A 12,068-nucleotide genomic window follows, 5' to 3' on the forward strand; every position below is an offset into this window, starting at 1 on the left:
GAAGATAAAATTTAATATGATTAATTTTATATGACCAGTGACATGTTGAACATGTAATGCCTGTACTTTAAAAAGCTCCAGATTATATGCAATTTAAACACATTATAACTTTCTATCACTCACTAACCTAAAAACTAACATGTATTATCCACAGACAAAAATGTCTGGACTTTCAAAAAAAACGTGAGATGTAAGTGAATATCTGATTAAACAACTTTTTCTTCCAAACTGGTAGGGAAACTTTATGGAATAAATGTGTTTGTACAGTGGTGGCTATCTGTCACGGTAGACCCTGACACAGCCATTAAAGCACCAAACATTTTGGGCAATATGTCATAACCAGCCAGTTGGAGGGCAGTAACAAAATACTTGGCTAACCATACTATACTAGAGACATTTGTTTATCTTAGCAAGCTAGTAACACCAAGCACCACTATAATTGGGGTCATCTGAATATCATGATTCATTGCATTTTTAAAAGAATTAAACATCATAGGAAAATCATTCCATATATTTTGGATTTTGAACATTTAAAATATTAGTTGTTTTAGCATCATAAAATGTTTATATAATATTTTCTTTGAAAAAGGCAATATATACATAATATTATATTGTATTTATATTTAAATAAAAAGTAACAAAATTTGCATTCTATCATATGACATTATGTAAAATTTTGTTCATATAGAAAACAAAAAAGTAGGGTTTGATTTATTGAAGCAACAAGGAATGGATGATTTTTTTTCCTTCAATCATAGCTGAAATAATTTGTGTTGAATGTTGTTTATGTGCTAGATACTGTATATTGGATTTTATTGACATTATTTAACCTTTAAAACAATATTATAAAGTAATATTATTTCTATTTTATAGACTAGTTAATTAAAGCTTAGAAAAATTATAAAACATGTCCGATGTCAAATGATTAGCAAGTAGTAGAGCTGGGCCTAGAACTTTGTCTAATATCAAAACCCATATTTATAATCACAGTAATTTTTTAAATAAAAAATCTATACTTTATATATCCTGCACTCTGTACATTGTTCTTATTTATGAATAGATGTATGTCAGTTTCTATGGGCTTTTTCTGGGAAATAGAATGACAAACTCATTCTGACTTGACCAGGATTTCCCCAGTTTTAGCACTGAAAATCTGGCCTCCTGGGTACCTGCTCAGTCCTAAGCAAACCTATGCCAGTTGGCCCCTCACCAGGAAAGAATACTTAACCTGGAAAAAATTCTAATGGTTTCCAAATTTTAATCTTAAATTCAGAAATCTGAATAAAAGCGGGGGGACGGAGGTGCAGAATTATGAAGAAGGCTTCATGTTTTGCACTGAGGAATATGTGTTTCTCAGGGAGAAAAGCATTCATTGTCACCTTCCCTGGAAATTATGCCTGAGAATTAAGAAATGAATAGCAGCCTTCTTAAGTGTCGTTTTGCAGCTAGTACATAACTGAATACAGATTTTTGGAATCAGGAGTGAGAGCAAAGAGCAAAAATGTGTTTCTTGAATTATCTGAAGAGCAGCCTCGTTGGTTCCCCCTTCGCTTGTTCTAGACTCATTTCCTTGGTGCTGTTTTTAAAAGGGTGCTCCATGGTGGGCCTGGAAACCGAAGCCCTTCCTAATCTAGGTCCAGCCCCATTTCTACGCATAACTTCTCACTGCCACTTACTGGAGATTGCAGAAGATTCGCCTTTAATATCTTTCCTTTTCCTCTGCTTGGTTTATGCCCCTCCCCCAGGTTCTCTGAAGTGACTCAGATGTTCTGTAGGTCTAAGTGCAAAACTATTTTTACCACAGCGTTTGGGAATCTCTGGGCACAAACTGTCTGCCGATTAGGTAAATTACAGGTGCAGGAGCTCATGTTACTCATTTAGCTGCCACAAATTGAAAGCACTAATCTGCCTCTTCTGAGTTTTGCCTTTCAGTCAGCGGGCTCCTCCTTTACCTTCTATTCTTTATGGCTACTCTCCGCCCTTGCTGGGTGACCCTTCGTCCTGAGGGCTAGCCTGCGTTCTGTTCACTCTGTTTCTCTCCTCTCTCTCTTCTCTCCGTTCTTCTATACCCTTTTCTTTCTTCTATTTTTCATAGTTGAAAGAGTATAATCATCGTCTATCCGGCCCTCAGTTCTGCTTTATCAGCTGTGGCTGAAACTGCTTTCTTTGAATCTGACTATGTAACCAAATTCCCCAGCTATCACCCACACAAATCTCTTCCCTAGTCTCTGACAGTCATCTATGTCTGTTTCTTCCTTGAGCTTTTTCTGACTGTCACCATCATCCTGTTACTTTCCAAAGGCTTTTCAAAAAGCTTGAACTTTGTTCCCTAGAAATGCCACCACAATACCTCAGGAACTTCTGTTCCCAAACCATCCTTTTCTCAAGCTTCCTGTTCAGGAGTGACTTTACTGTTACACACTCTTAGAGAACTACATTCCTTTCTTTCAAAGTTCCTAATTCGGTTATTCATTTGTGTGACTTTTAATTAGTATCTTGTTCCCCAGTAAACTGGAAATTTAATGAGGGTATAAATACATTAAGCTCTGCTACTAGAGCGACTAGTTTCAATATTTTCACCTTGATTAACACAAATCCCCAAATTTTTCAGAAACATCTTTCTCACCAAATCTAGGTTTTTCAGTGAATTCACTATGATTCTTTCCATCAGAGGCCTTACAAATTGAGTAGGAGAATTAATATTTGCTGAGTGCATATTTCATACCATGGGCTCAAAATATATTATTTAATTTAGTGTGAAAAGAAAGCCTATGATATGTGTAATGTATATGCTTTTTGATCTCTAATAAAACTGTGGCTAGAAACACATACTTAAGAATGGCTAGAACACAGATTCTGTCTTTCCCCAAAGGTCTCTTCTCTTTCTACCATATATGCAACATTTCCAAAGGCTCATAGCTAAAATCCACTGATGTGAGCTAGCCATAATACTTTCCTTCCCACTTCTTCCCACAGAAAAGAATTGGGAGGCACTCAGGCTTTTTTGGGGGGAAAAAATCATTTGCAAATGAATAAGCATGAAGTAAGAACAACAGGGTGGTAAACCACATGAAAACTTCCCATCCTGTCACTAATCTAGTTTCAGATTTTATGATGAATGAAGTCTAGTCCCCTTGGAGTGATTTTATTAATGATAATATTATTATTCCCCTATTATCATTTACTTTTTCCATAATTAAAAAAATATTTGGACTATTTAAAGCTTGGAGGATTGCAGTTTATGTAAAACTGATTTGACCACTTGTCAAGGTCTGTGTCTCCAAGTTCTACTGAGAAGTGATATAATTGCAATTACAGGCATCTCATATTTTGTAAACAGTTTGAGTTCCAAGAGTTCACTAGTTAGAAGTTTGGCATCAGTGCGTATTTTCCCATTGACCTAATCTAATAAAGGGTGATTATTTCCCAAGCTGGCATTTCCTTGTTTTCTCCTCCCACCTCCTGCCCTCAACTCCCAAAACAACCACAAAAAAGGGGAAAAATCTGTTTAAACCAGGGTAAACACTCCCACTAATTTTACTGGTCTGAGGTCTAGAGCGTGTTGGAAAAGGGGATTCATAATTTAATAAGGAAGAATTCAATAGGTGAAAGTTGACTTTATACCAGTAAAAGCCACCCTTGCCTAAGAAGTTGCTCCTGATCTGCACCCCAAAGCTTTATATACTTTTTTAAAAAAATAATTCTCTTTCTACATTTCTAAACTGGCTCTTTCTCCAGTGGTGACACTTGAATGAAAGAAACAGAAAAAGGAAAAGGCGAACTTCCATATTTTTTAGCGGGTTCATGATATGAAGGCTCTCTAACATCTATCTGATACCTCTTAAAATCAGTGGCAAGTCTAAGAATGGTAACACCTTAAATGTATTTCTTCACCCAGGCTTCAAAATTGCTTAGTAGTGATATTTTTCTCCCTTATTTTTCTCTGAACATACTAATTCCAATAATAAAAGTACTTTTAGAGAGGATGCTACATTTTTGAGGTGGGTTTCATGTTTTTAAAAGTTTAATTTTTATAACATCCTGTAAATATGGACATCTTTTGTCATTATGCCAATGTTACGGATTAAACATCTGAGAATTTGAGATAGTAGAGTTCATTAAATCCTCACAGGCCCCAAAAGACTATAATCTAGGCCTTCCCCATCCCAATTCCAAGGCTATTTCTCCCATTTGGTCTGTTAATTTAACTCACCTCTTTAGATTCAGACTCCATGAGAAGAGAGATTTTTTTTAATGCTTTATCCTTAGCACCTAGGACACTATCTGGCACTTAGTAGGTACCCAATAAATGCTGAATAAAAAAAATTAGTCATTTTTATCTTAATGTTCTTAATGATTTTTATCACAATAATCTTAGTTAACTTTTCAAATTGTCTTCACATTTACAAGAGACAACATAAAGTGTGGTTAAGAGCACAAGCTAATTTTCTATAATAGATGTTAGATTATACCCTGAGTTGCTGAAACTTTCAATCTGCAGTTTTAATTGCTGACTTGAGCAACCAAGAAACTGGCGAAAATAGAAAAAAAAAAGTCACAGAAGAAGTATTGGCCTCTTGCAACTCTTCTCTCTCCTTCTTACCATTCCAAAAATCTAAGAATAGTATTAAACTTGATAAGGAATAAAAACAGCCAAAAATATCAAAGCTTAACATCCAGTCTGTGGCTCAATAGAAACTGTGAAGAATCATCTTCTAGAATAGGCGACTTGATTAGCTAATTTCTAAATTATCTGACAGTTGATTTCCTGCATTATCTTCACTCTATTCATTTTTTAAAATAAAGTCATAAAGAACACAGCTTATAATCATTACTGCTTGGGGTAGAGCAATAAGATTTTATGTTCCCACATAGTTTTTGAGGCACTGACTATAAAGACCAAAACCAAGGTCAACTGACATCCCAAAGGCCAGTTACAGCTAGGAAGTCTTTCTAGAGCTCTAGGAGGAAAGGTGAAAGGAAGGGAAAGAACAACAAAACAGAGAGAGGGAAGAAAAAGAAAAACCTCTCCAACAGCTATGCTTTATTTCATTCATAGGAATGAGTCTTTGCCCTAACATGGCTTTATACTACAAATGATAACTACTGTTCATCAAGCAGCTATGTGCTATGTGTTTCACATGCATGGTATCATTTGATTGAATCCTCACTAAAACTGTAAGGAAACCACTATCATCTTGAAGACATCAAGATCTAGTACTTACCCATGGATATATACATAGAAATTAACCTTGCTAGGACTTGATAGTTCTTTGGAATCTAGGGCCCCCGCACTTGACCTTCATATTGTACTGTCTCCCGAAGAACAATACATGTATCTTGTGGACCATGGGCAAGCTGCAATTTAAAAAATGCTGTTTCCTTGCTCGTGCCTTGGTTGCTAACCTTTCTCACTTAAATCCTATCAAACAACTTATTTGGAGTCAATGGATAGTGAGAATGCAAAAGAAAAAGTGGTGAGCACACAGTGTGCAGAACTGGAATCATAAGAGAGGCACCTTGGAGGGGGCCACAAGTAAATGCTGAAATATCAAGTAGCTGTGGTGTGAGTCTTGTTTTCACTAAAACTATTTTTAAGGAGGAGTTACTACATGTATTGTAACCCCATCCTCTATCCCACTCCCTACCTCATATGTAATACTGCTCCACAAATGGAAGGGTACAGAATTCAGATCCTGGTTGCCCCTCTCCCCAAAGGAAAAAAAAAAAAAAAAGATAGTCAAGGACGGTCTCTATGGAAGGACCCAGAGAATCATTTCATCCAGTATCATGGGATGTGAGCACCCTTCAGCAACCCCCTCCATTTCCCAAATCATCTTGCAGCCTTAGTAAAAGAGAGGAAAGAGATTTACCTGCTTCTATTGAGGTTGAAGCCTGAAAGTCATGTATAACCTTTGAAGCACTGTAATGGTTTTAATCACAGGAATAGCATCTTTTTGAGAGGCAGGAGAGAGAAAGGAGCTGAACCACTCTGCAAATATTAACCCGGCTATTTTGGAGCAATGGCTATTGCCTTTGAAATCTTTCATCATGGGTCTATACTTAGAATTCAGATGAGCGCAGGGGGAGGGGAATAGGGCAATGTTAATCCCCAGTTGTTTTGAAGTTGTCCTGTAAGCAGGTTAGTATCTAAACTGCCCAAAATGGAAGGGTTCAATGCTTTGTTTAAGTTATGTGATTCTCTCTGTGTAACCTGGTCTGCACATAGATTGTCACAACACTCTGGGAGGTGACACTTCTCAGTTTTCTTTCAAACTAGATGTTCTAGAGAGCACTAGCTGCAATCACATTGGGAGACTGATGCTCCATGACAGCTAAAAGTTGGATTGAGTTTCAGGAGCTACTATATATAAAGCTGGGTCGACTTATGTCACTGCACTAATTAAATGCCATCTGGGTGGTTCCTCTGGGTTTTTGAGTCCATCACCCAGTTCAGATCGAGTCAGAGGCCAAGGAGGAGAACATGATGATGGACCTTTTTGAAACTGGCTCCTATTTCTTCTACTTGGATGGGGAAAATGTTACTCTGCAGCCATTAGAAGTGGCAGAAGGCTCTCCTTTGTATCCAGGGAGTGATGGTACCTTGTCCCCCTGCCAGGACCAAATGCCCCCGGAAGCGGGGAGCGACAGCAGCGGAGAGGAACATGTCCTGGCGCCCCCGGGCCTGCAGCCTCCACACTGCCCCGGCCAGTGTCTGATCTGGGCTTGCAAGACCTGCAAGAGAAAATCTGCCCCCACTGACCGGCGAAAAGCCGCCACCCTGCGCGAAAGGAGGAGGCTAAAGAAAATCAACGAGGCCTTCGAGGCACTGAAGCGGCGAACTGTGGCCAACCCCAACCAGAGGCTGCCCAAGGTGGAGATTCTGCGGAGCGCCATCAGCTATATTGAGCGGCTGCAGGACCTGCTGCACCGGCTGGATCAGCAGGAGAAGATGCAGGAGCTGGGGGTGGACCCCTTCAGCTACAGACCCAAACAAGAAAATGTAAGCCTAGATGCTGCCGGGGCAGGGAAATGCGAAGGCTGATTAAACGCCTTCCGCGGGGCCTTAACCTCCAGCTGCTTGGTCTTTTTTCCCTTCCCCCTTTCTCGCCCGCCCCTCCCGCTCCGTCTCTAATGAACCCCCAGTGACCCAAGAAGACCGGGTGCTTGCAATAGGCAGGAAATGCGTACCCGGCCCGAGGAAGCAGGAAAGCCGCCCCCCACCCCACCCCAACCCCGGAACCGATGTTTCTTTCCTAATCTGCCGCTGCCTTGGTTTTCCCTCCAGCTTGAGGGTGCGGATTTCCTGCGCACCTGCAGCTCCCAGTGGCCAAGTGTTTCCGATCATTCCAGGGGGCTCGTGATAACGGCTAAGGAAGGTAAAGTAAAAGGGCTCTGGGCCGCACCAGAGAAAATCCGGGAGGTGGATAGGATGCTTGGGCCGAGAGGGCTCGAAGCGAGAGCAGGGACGCGCCCTGCGAAAAGGGCGCTCTTTGCGCGCCGGGACCAGGCCTTTCCTCGCTGCCAAAGCGGCCTCGCGCGGGGCGCGGAGCTGCTTCGTGTTCCTTCTTTGGGTGCTATGTTTGTGTGTTGTTTTTTCGCTCAGGAGGAGCAAGTATTGATTCGTCAGCCTCGAGTAGCCTTCGATGCCTTTCTTCCATCGTGGACAGTATTTCCTCGGAGGAACGCAAACTCCCCTGCGTGGAGGAAGTGGTGGAGAAGTAACTGAGCCTGCGCTTGAGACCTTCTCCACGCAGCAGGAAGATCCCACCGACCCTTCCTGGCCTAATCCTTTAGATTAGGTCACATTACATTAACATTTAGGAACCCAGACCGAAAAGTTGCTGAAAGGGAAGGAGACACATTCACAAAGAAACGTTGCGAAAATTGCGAAATCTGTTGTGCATGCTCAAATGAAAACGCCTTTCGGCTTTGGGCTTTTATTTTTTTGGAACTGCGAGTGGCTTAGGTCTAGCCTCATTTTGTTTTTGTTTGGTTGGTTTTATACTATATTAACTTTTATTACGGTGATCCTTTTGTGCCATGTTCAAAAGAAGTTCATTCCTGTCTAAAGTGGGAAAGTTGCATTTAATGTTAGGGGTATTTAATGTATTTTTGTAAATAGTTTAACACTTTCTTTTTTTACGTAAACCTGAAATATATTTTAAATGTGGAATGATGTATATAAAATGTGCGAGGATCCTGGTATTGTAATATTAAAAAGAAGTTTCTATATGAACAAAGTTGGTCCTAATTTGATGGAACTGGAAAAATATGTTTGGAGGCATGTGTACAAAAATAAAGAGGAGCCATATTTTAATTTAGACACCACACAAGCCCATTTATTTGGGTGTTTCCTTACATGCCAATTGAAAGGAAATTTGGCTTTCCTTAGTCTGAATTAAACTGGATACTGTTCTCTCTCTCGTAGACCTCACACTTGTCATTGGAAGTGAATAGTGCCCAGAAGAAAAATGTCATTTTTCCTTTTATCAGCATCTTTTTCCGTCTGGTTTTACACTCCTATACCTGGAGATCTGGGTGAGATTTACTTACCCAAAGTTAACAATGGAATTTTCAATCTAGGAAAATATGGTTGCAAGAAATTACCACACCAAAACTGTGCTCATTTCCCAAAAAGATCTTCAGCGGATTTACCCACAAACGGCCTTCCCTCTTAGCCTTCCCAGGCCGCTCTTGTCCTGAAGTGTGGATCTGGAGTTCCCGGGGCTGCATCCGGCATCCTCAGGGCCGGATCTCGGGCCCCCTCCCCAGTTTTCTTGAACTAGACTGGTCCCTAGCAGACTGGAATATCCTCAAGGCCTCGTTTGGCTTGGGTTTGTTTTCCATATACGAAAGATAAAAGAAATGGGCAATCTGTCTCTGGAGGTGGGGTGGGCTGCTTTGAAGGGAGGGCGGCTTCAAGTGAGGGAAGGTTTCAATGGTTGAGGGCAAAAGACAACAACAACACACATGCAACCTCTTAGCCGAGCCAAACAGCAAAGCCCCAAAGAGGCTAGAAGCCCCAGGAGCTCCTCACCATGCGGATTTTACAACGTGTGCCAGGTTTGTTTATCCTGTAACCTCAGGAAGAAACGACCACCAAGAAACACAGTGGGAAGTGAGGCAGATGAGAGGAGGAAGCCATTTCTTTTGAATTGCGACTCCTCTCTTAGATTCTGTAAGTGGCACCTTCACTCCCTTCCCCCACCCCTGAACTTCTACCTTTCCTCCTCCTCCCCAACAGCTAGTCTTCAGTTAGCAGACGTGAAAATCAAATCGGATTCAGTATTTCCCAGCCCACCCTTTCCTTCCTAACCCTCCAAAGGCTGTACTTTCTTGTTGCGCACCTAAGTTCCAGATAGCACCACAGACAGTGCCCCCTGGAGGTACAGAGCTGTATCTTGCCCCTTTTTCCTCTCAGAAAGGAAAGCCTCTTCCTGGCGATAGTAGTCACTGCGTTTTCTGAGTATATGGGAAATTCAGATTTCTTCTGAAACAAATTTAAAAGGCAGAAAGGTTCATAGTGGAAGCTGACATTGACATACAATCTCTTTTAAAGGTTTGGGAGAGGTAGGTGGGAGATTTAGCTGAGCCTGTGTGGGGTTGGCTACCTAGATGGAATCCAGGCTGCCACTGTCTAGGGCTAGTCACTGCTCATTCTTAGTCCTGTTTCCTCCTGAGGTTGTGAAGATTCACTGAGATAACACATGTGAAGTGCTTAGCCAAAATGGCACAAAATAAACACTAGATGCCAGCTCTCTTCTTCATTAGTCAATTCAAAGACCCTTTTCTTCCATCAAAAGCCATAGTTTCTTCAGCCTTTCCTTGCTCTGGCTGGGGAAAATATTGACAACAATGAGAACAAAAGCAACATAAATGAGCCATTCTTAGTATTTAAATATTAACTCATAATCCTACAACAGATGAGAGAGGTACTGCGAAGATCCTTGGAACAGAGTTTCCTGCACTTGGTTAAGTACTGCATAGAGCCAGGATTCAGAGCCAGGCAATTATCAGTGGATTCAAGCCTGTGTTCTTAACCATCATGCTCTGTGAAACAGATGCCTTGGCACATTGTTAATTTCTTTCTTTCCTCCTTTTTTTTTTCTTTTTAAGGGGTGATGTGTCCCTGTTGCCCAGGCTTGAACTCCTGGATTCAAGTGATCCTCCAGCCTCAGCCTTTCAGGTAGCTGGGACTACAGGCCCATACCACTGAGCCCAGCTTGCCTTGGGAAATTAATAAGCAACATTTTATGGTCTGGGGAAAAATTTGGCTCTCCTTGGCGTTTGTTTTCTAAAAGCTCTCTCTCAAGAGTGGCTAGCTACCGAACTCCAAATTAGAGCAGTAACTTAAAAAAATAAGTGGTAAAGCATTTCAAATTATCCAACCAAAACATGTGTGAATATGTCTGGGTAGTGTCTATGCCCATTAATTATGCTTATTAGATGCCCATCATTTTCTCCCTGAGAATCAATAGGGATTTTCCCCAAATTGTATATATGCACACTTCTATTTTTAAAATTCAAATTTATTATGCAACACAAAATAATGTAACTGATTAGGTGAACTCATTTAATTTATAATTTAGCCTATACTTATAGTAAGATCTGTGTTATAAATGGCTCAACAGCAGAATGCTTTTATTAATTCGTGGACTTTACTTGTTGATGGATTTTATTCAGTCTTTGCAAGCCAAATCCTCTCTATCTCTCTTAGCTGGGTAACTTGAGAAATTGTTTGGAATAAGTTTGCCTATAGAAGTCTCTTCATTAAATAGAGCAAATATTTCCCAAAGACTTCATGTGACCTCCACTGCTACAGATGACATGTTAGGCTTTCCAGTGAAATCCTTGGTGTGTTTGCAATTAAAATGTTTTTGTTTGATATTAATGATGATAATCTTTACTGAGGCCAAAGCCAAAATAAACAGGGCTGTGGAAGCAGATAATCAAGACATAATAACTTGGTAAAGATAAGCAATTTGGGATTAAATTCAAGCCTCTTTCCAGAGGCAGGTATAAAGTTATCAAGTACAAAATAATGAGTGATTTTCTTTATTATATTACTACAGAAATAATTTGCAGAAAATCAAATGCCAGCTTTCATACTAATTTTAATACCTGGATCACTGAATTCCAAGCCTGAACACTGGAAATCCTCTTAGGTCTAACAGTCTCATTTATTTTTCCTCAAACTCTTGCATTTGTTTTGGGAGTGGAGGGAATGCTGGAATTTAGGGTTTGCAACTATTTCTGAAACTAGCAGAGAAATCTTGAGATGCTGAAAGTGATCTCTATCCTTATTAAGACTTTTTTTTTTTTTACTAAAGTTAGAATTTACCCAGTTGTGTTTTTCTTCTAGTAATATTTTATCCCATTTTGTCGTTTCAAAATCGCTCTCCCACAACACCATAGCTGGAATTTTTTTTGACATTTTTTTTAAGCTTTGAATATCTAATTGCCTAATCCAATGCATTGATAAATTATCAATAACATAGTATTTTCTCAAAGAGCCAAACCACCAAGCTATTTCTCTGACAGGCCCCTCCAGTCACTCCCTTAAACTATTACACTTATAAAAGATGATCCTCCATCATAGAGGTTTCACTCTGAAAAAAGCAATTTTTTTGCAAGCCTAGTTCAGAGTCAGTCTGAGATGGAATGGCTATGCCATGTGCTGGAACAAAGATAATGCTGTAAGAACTGGCTACTTTCTGTACTCTCAAGGCTGCTAAATGTCCTTACTTAGGCCTTTGATCTCTCCTGGAAGTCCTCTAATTCAAGCAGAGGCCAATGTCTTCCTCAGCTGTCTTCACAAATTCTTCCAGCAGCTCTGGCAGGTACTAATGTGTTTACTTAGGTGTGCCTGATTCCCAGAGCTAATAGCAATTTGCAATTGTTGAGCACATTGTGAAGTCATCTATAATATAAAAAATATCAAGAACAACTCCCTTAGTCCAGGAGTTGATAAGGATCTGCAGGCAGGGGCAGAAGTGAATTGGAATGTATGTATCCTTCTATATGTATTTGGTTTCTCCCTCCAAGAAAAGCATAGAGAATTTTCA

General features: G+C 40.2%; 1 protein-coding gene and 1 long non-coding RNA gene across 2 annotated transcripts in view, besides 2 other annotated features; one reads left to right on the plus strand and one right to left on the minus strand.

Moving 5' to 3' along the window:
* The window catches only part of LOC105369867 (uncharacterized), a 176,665-nt gene extending 170,662 nt beyond the window's left edge, over positions 1–6,003 (minus strand). The window contains exon 1 of the long non-coding RNA XR_007063388.1: positions 5,874–6,003. This is a non-coding gene — a long non-coding RNA (uncharacterized LOC105369867). The remainder of the gene's footprint in view (positions 1–5,873) is intronic.
* Positions 1,877–1,936: an enhancer, noted in NCBI's record as "active region_6688". NCBI's record gives its function as "activates an Ori minimal core promoter by ATAC-STARR-seq in GM12878 lymphoblastoid cells {active_cell/tissue: GM12878}" and the evidence as "EXISTENCE:reporter gene assay evidence [ECO:0000049][PMID:35858748]".
* Positions 6,199–7,108: an enhancer, noted in NCBI's record as "H3K27ac-H3K4me1 hESC enhancer chr12:81101213-81102122 (GRCh37/hg19 assembly coordinates)". NCBI's record gives its function as "activates a minimal SCP1, AML or CMV promoter by ChIP-STARR-seq in naive H9 embryonic stem cells {active_cell/tissue: H9 hESC(naive)}" and the evidence as "EXISTENCE:reporter gene assay evidence [ECO:0000049][PMID:30033119]".
* On the plus strand, positions 6,399–8,239 carry MYF6 (myogenic factor 6). The gene is made up of 3 exons (NM_002469.3): positions 6,399–7,003; positions 7,289–7,379; positions 7,607–8,239. Exons 1-3 carry the CDS (start codon positions 6,485–6,487, stop codon positions 7,723–7,725), a joined length of 729 nt encoding a protein of 242 aa, NP_002460.1. The 5' UTR covers positions 6,399–6,484; the 3' UTR covers positions 7,726–8,239.

This window comes from Homo sapiens, chromosome 12 (genome assembly GCF_000001405.40).
Source record: "Homo sapiens chromosome 12, GRCh38.p14 Primary Assembly".
Classification (NCBI taxonomy): Eukaryota; Metazoa; Chordata; class Mammalia; order Primates; family Hominidae; genus Homo; species Homo sapiens.

Bases quoted from the DNA above. Each gene is read 5' to 3' on its own strand.
- MYF6 (NM_002469.3), top strand. From the start codon at position 6,485: ATGATGATGGACCTTTTTGAAACTGGCTCCTATTTCTTCTACTTGGAT. The intron at 7,004-7,288 runs GTAAGCCTAGAT...TTTTCCCTCCAG, and splicing joins ACAGACCCAAACAAGAAAAT to CTTGAGGGTGCGGATTTCCT. The intron at 7,380-7,606 runs GTAAAGTAAAAG...TTTTTCGCTCAG, and splicing joins CGTGATAACGGCTAAGGAAG to GAGGAGCAAGTATTGATTCG.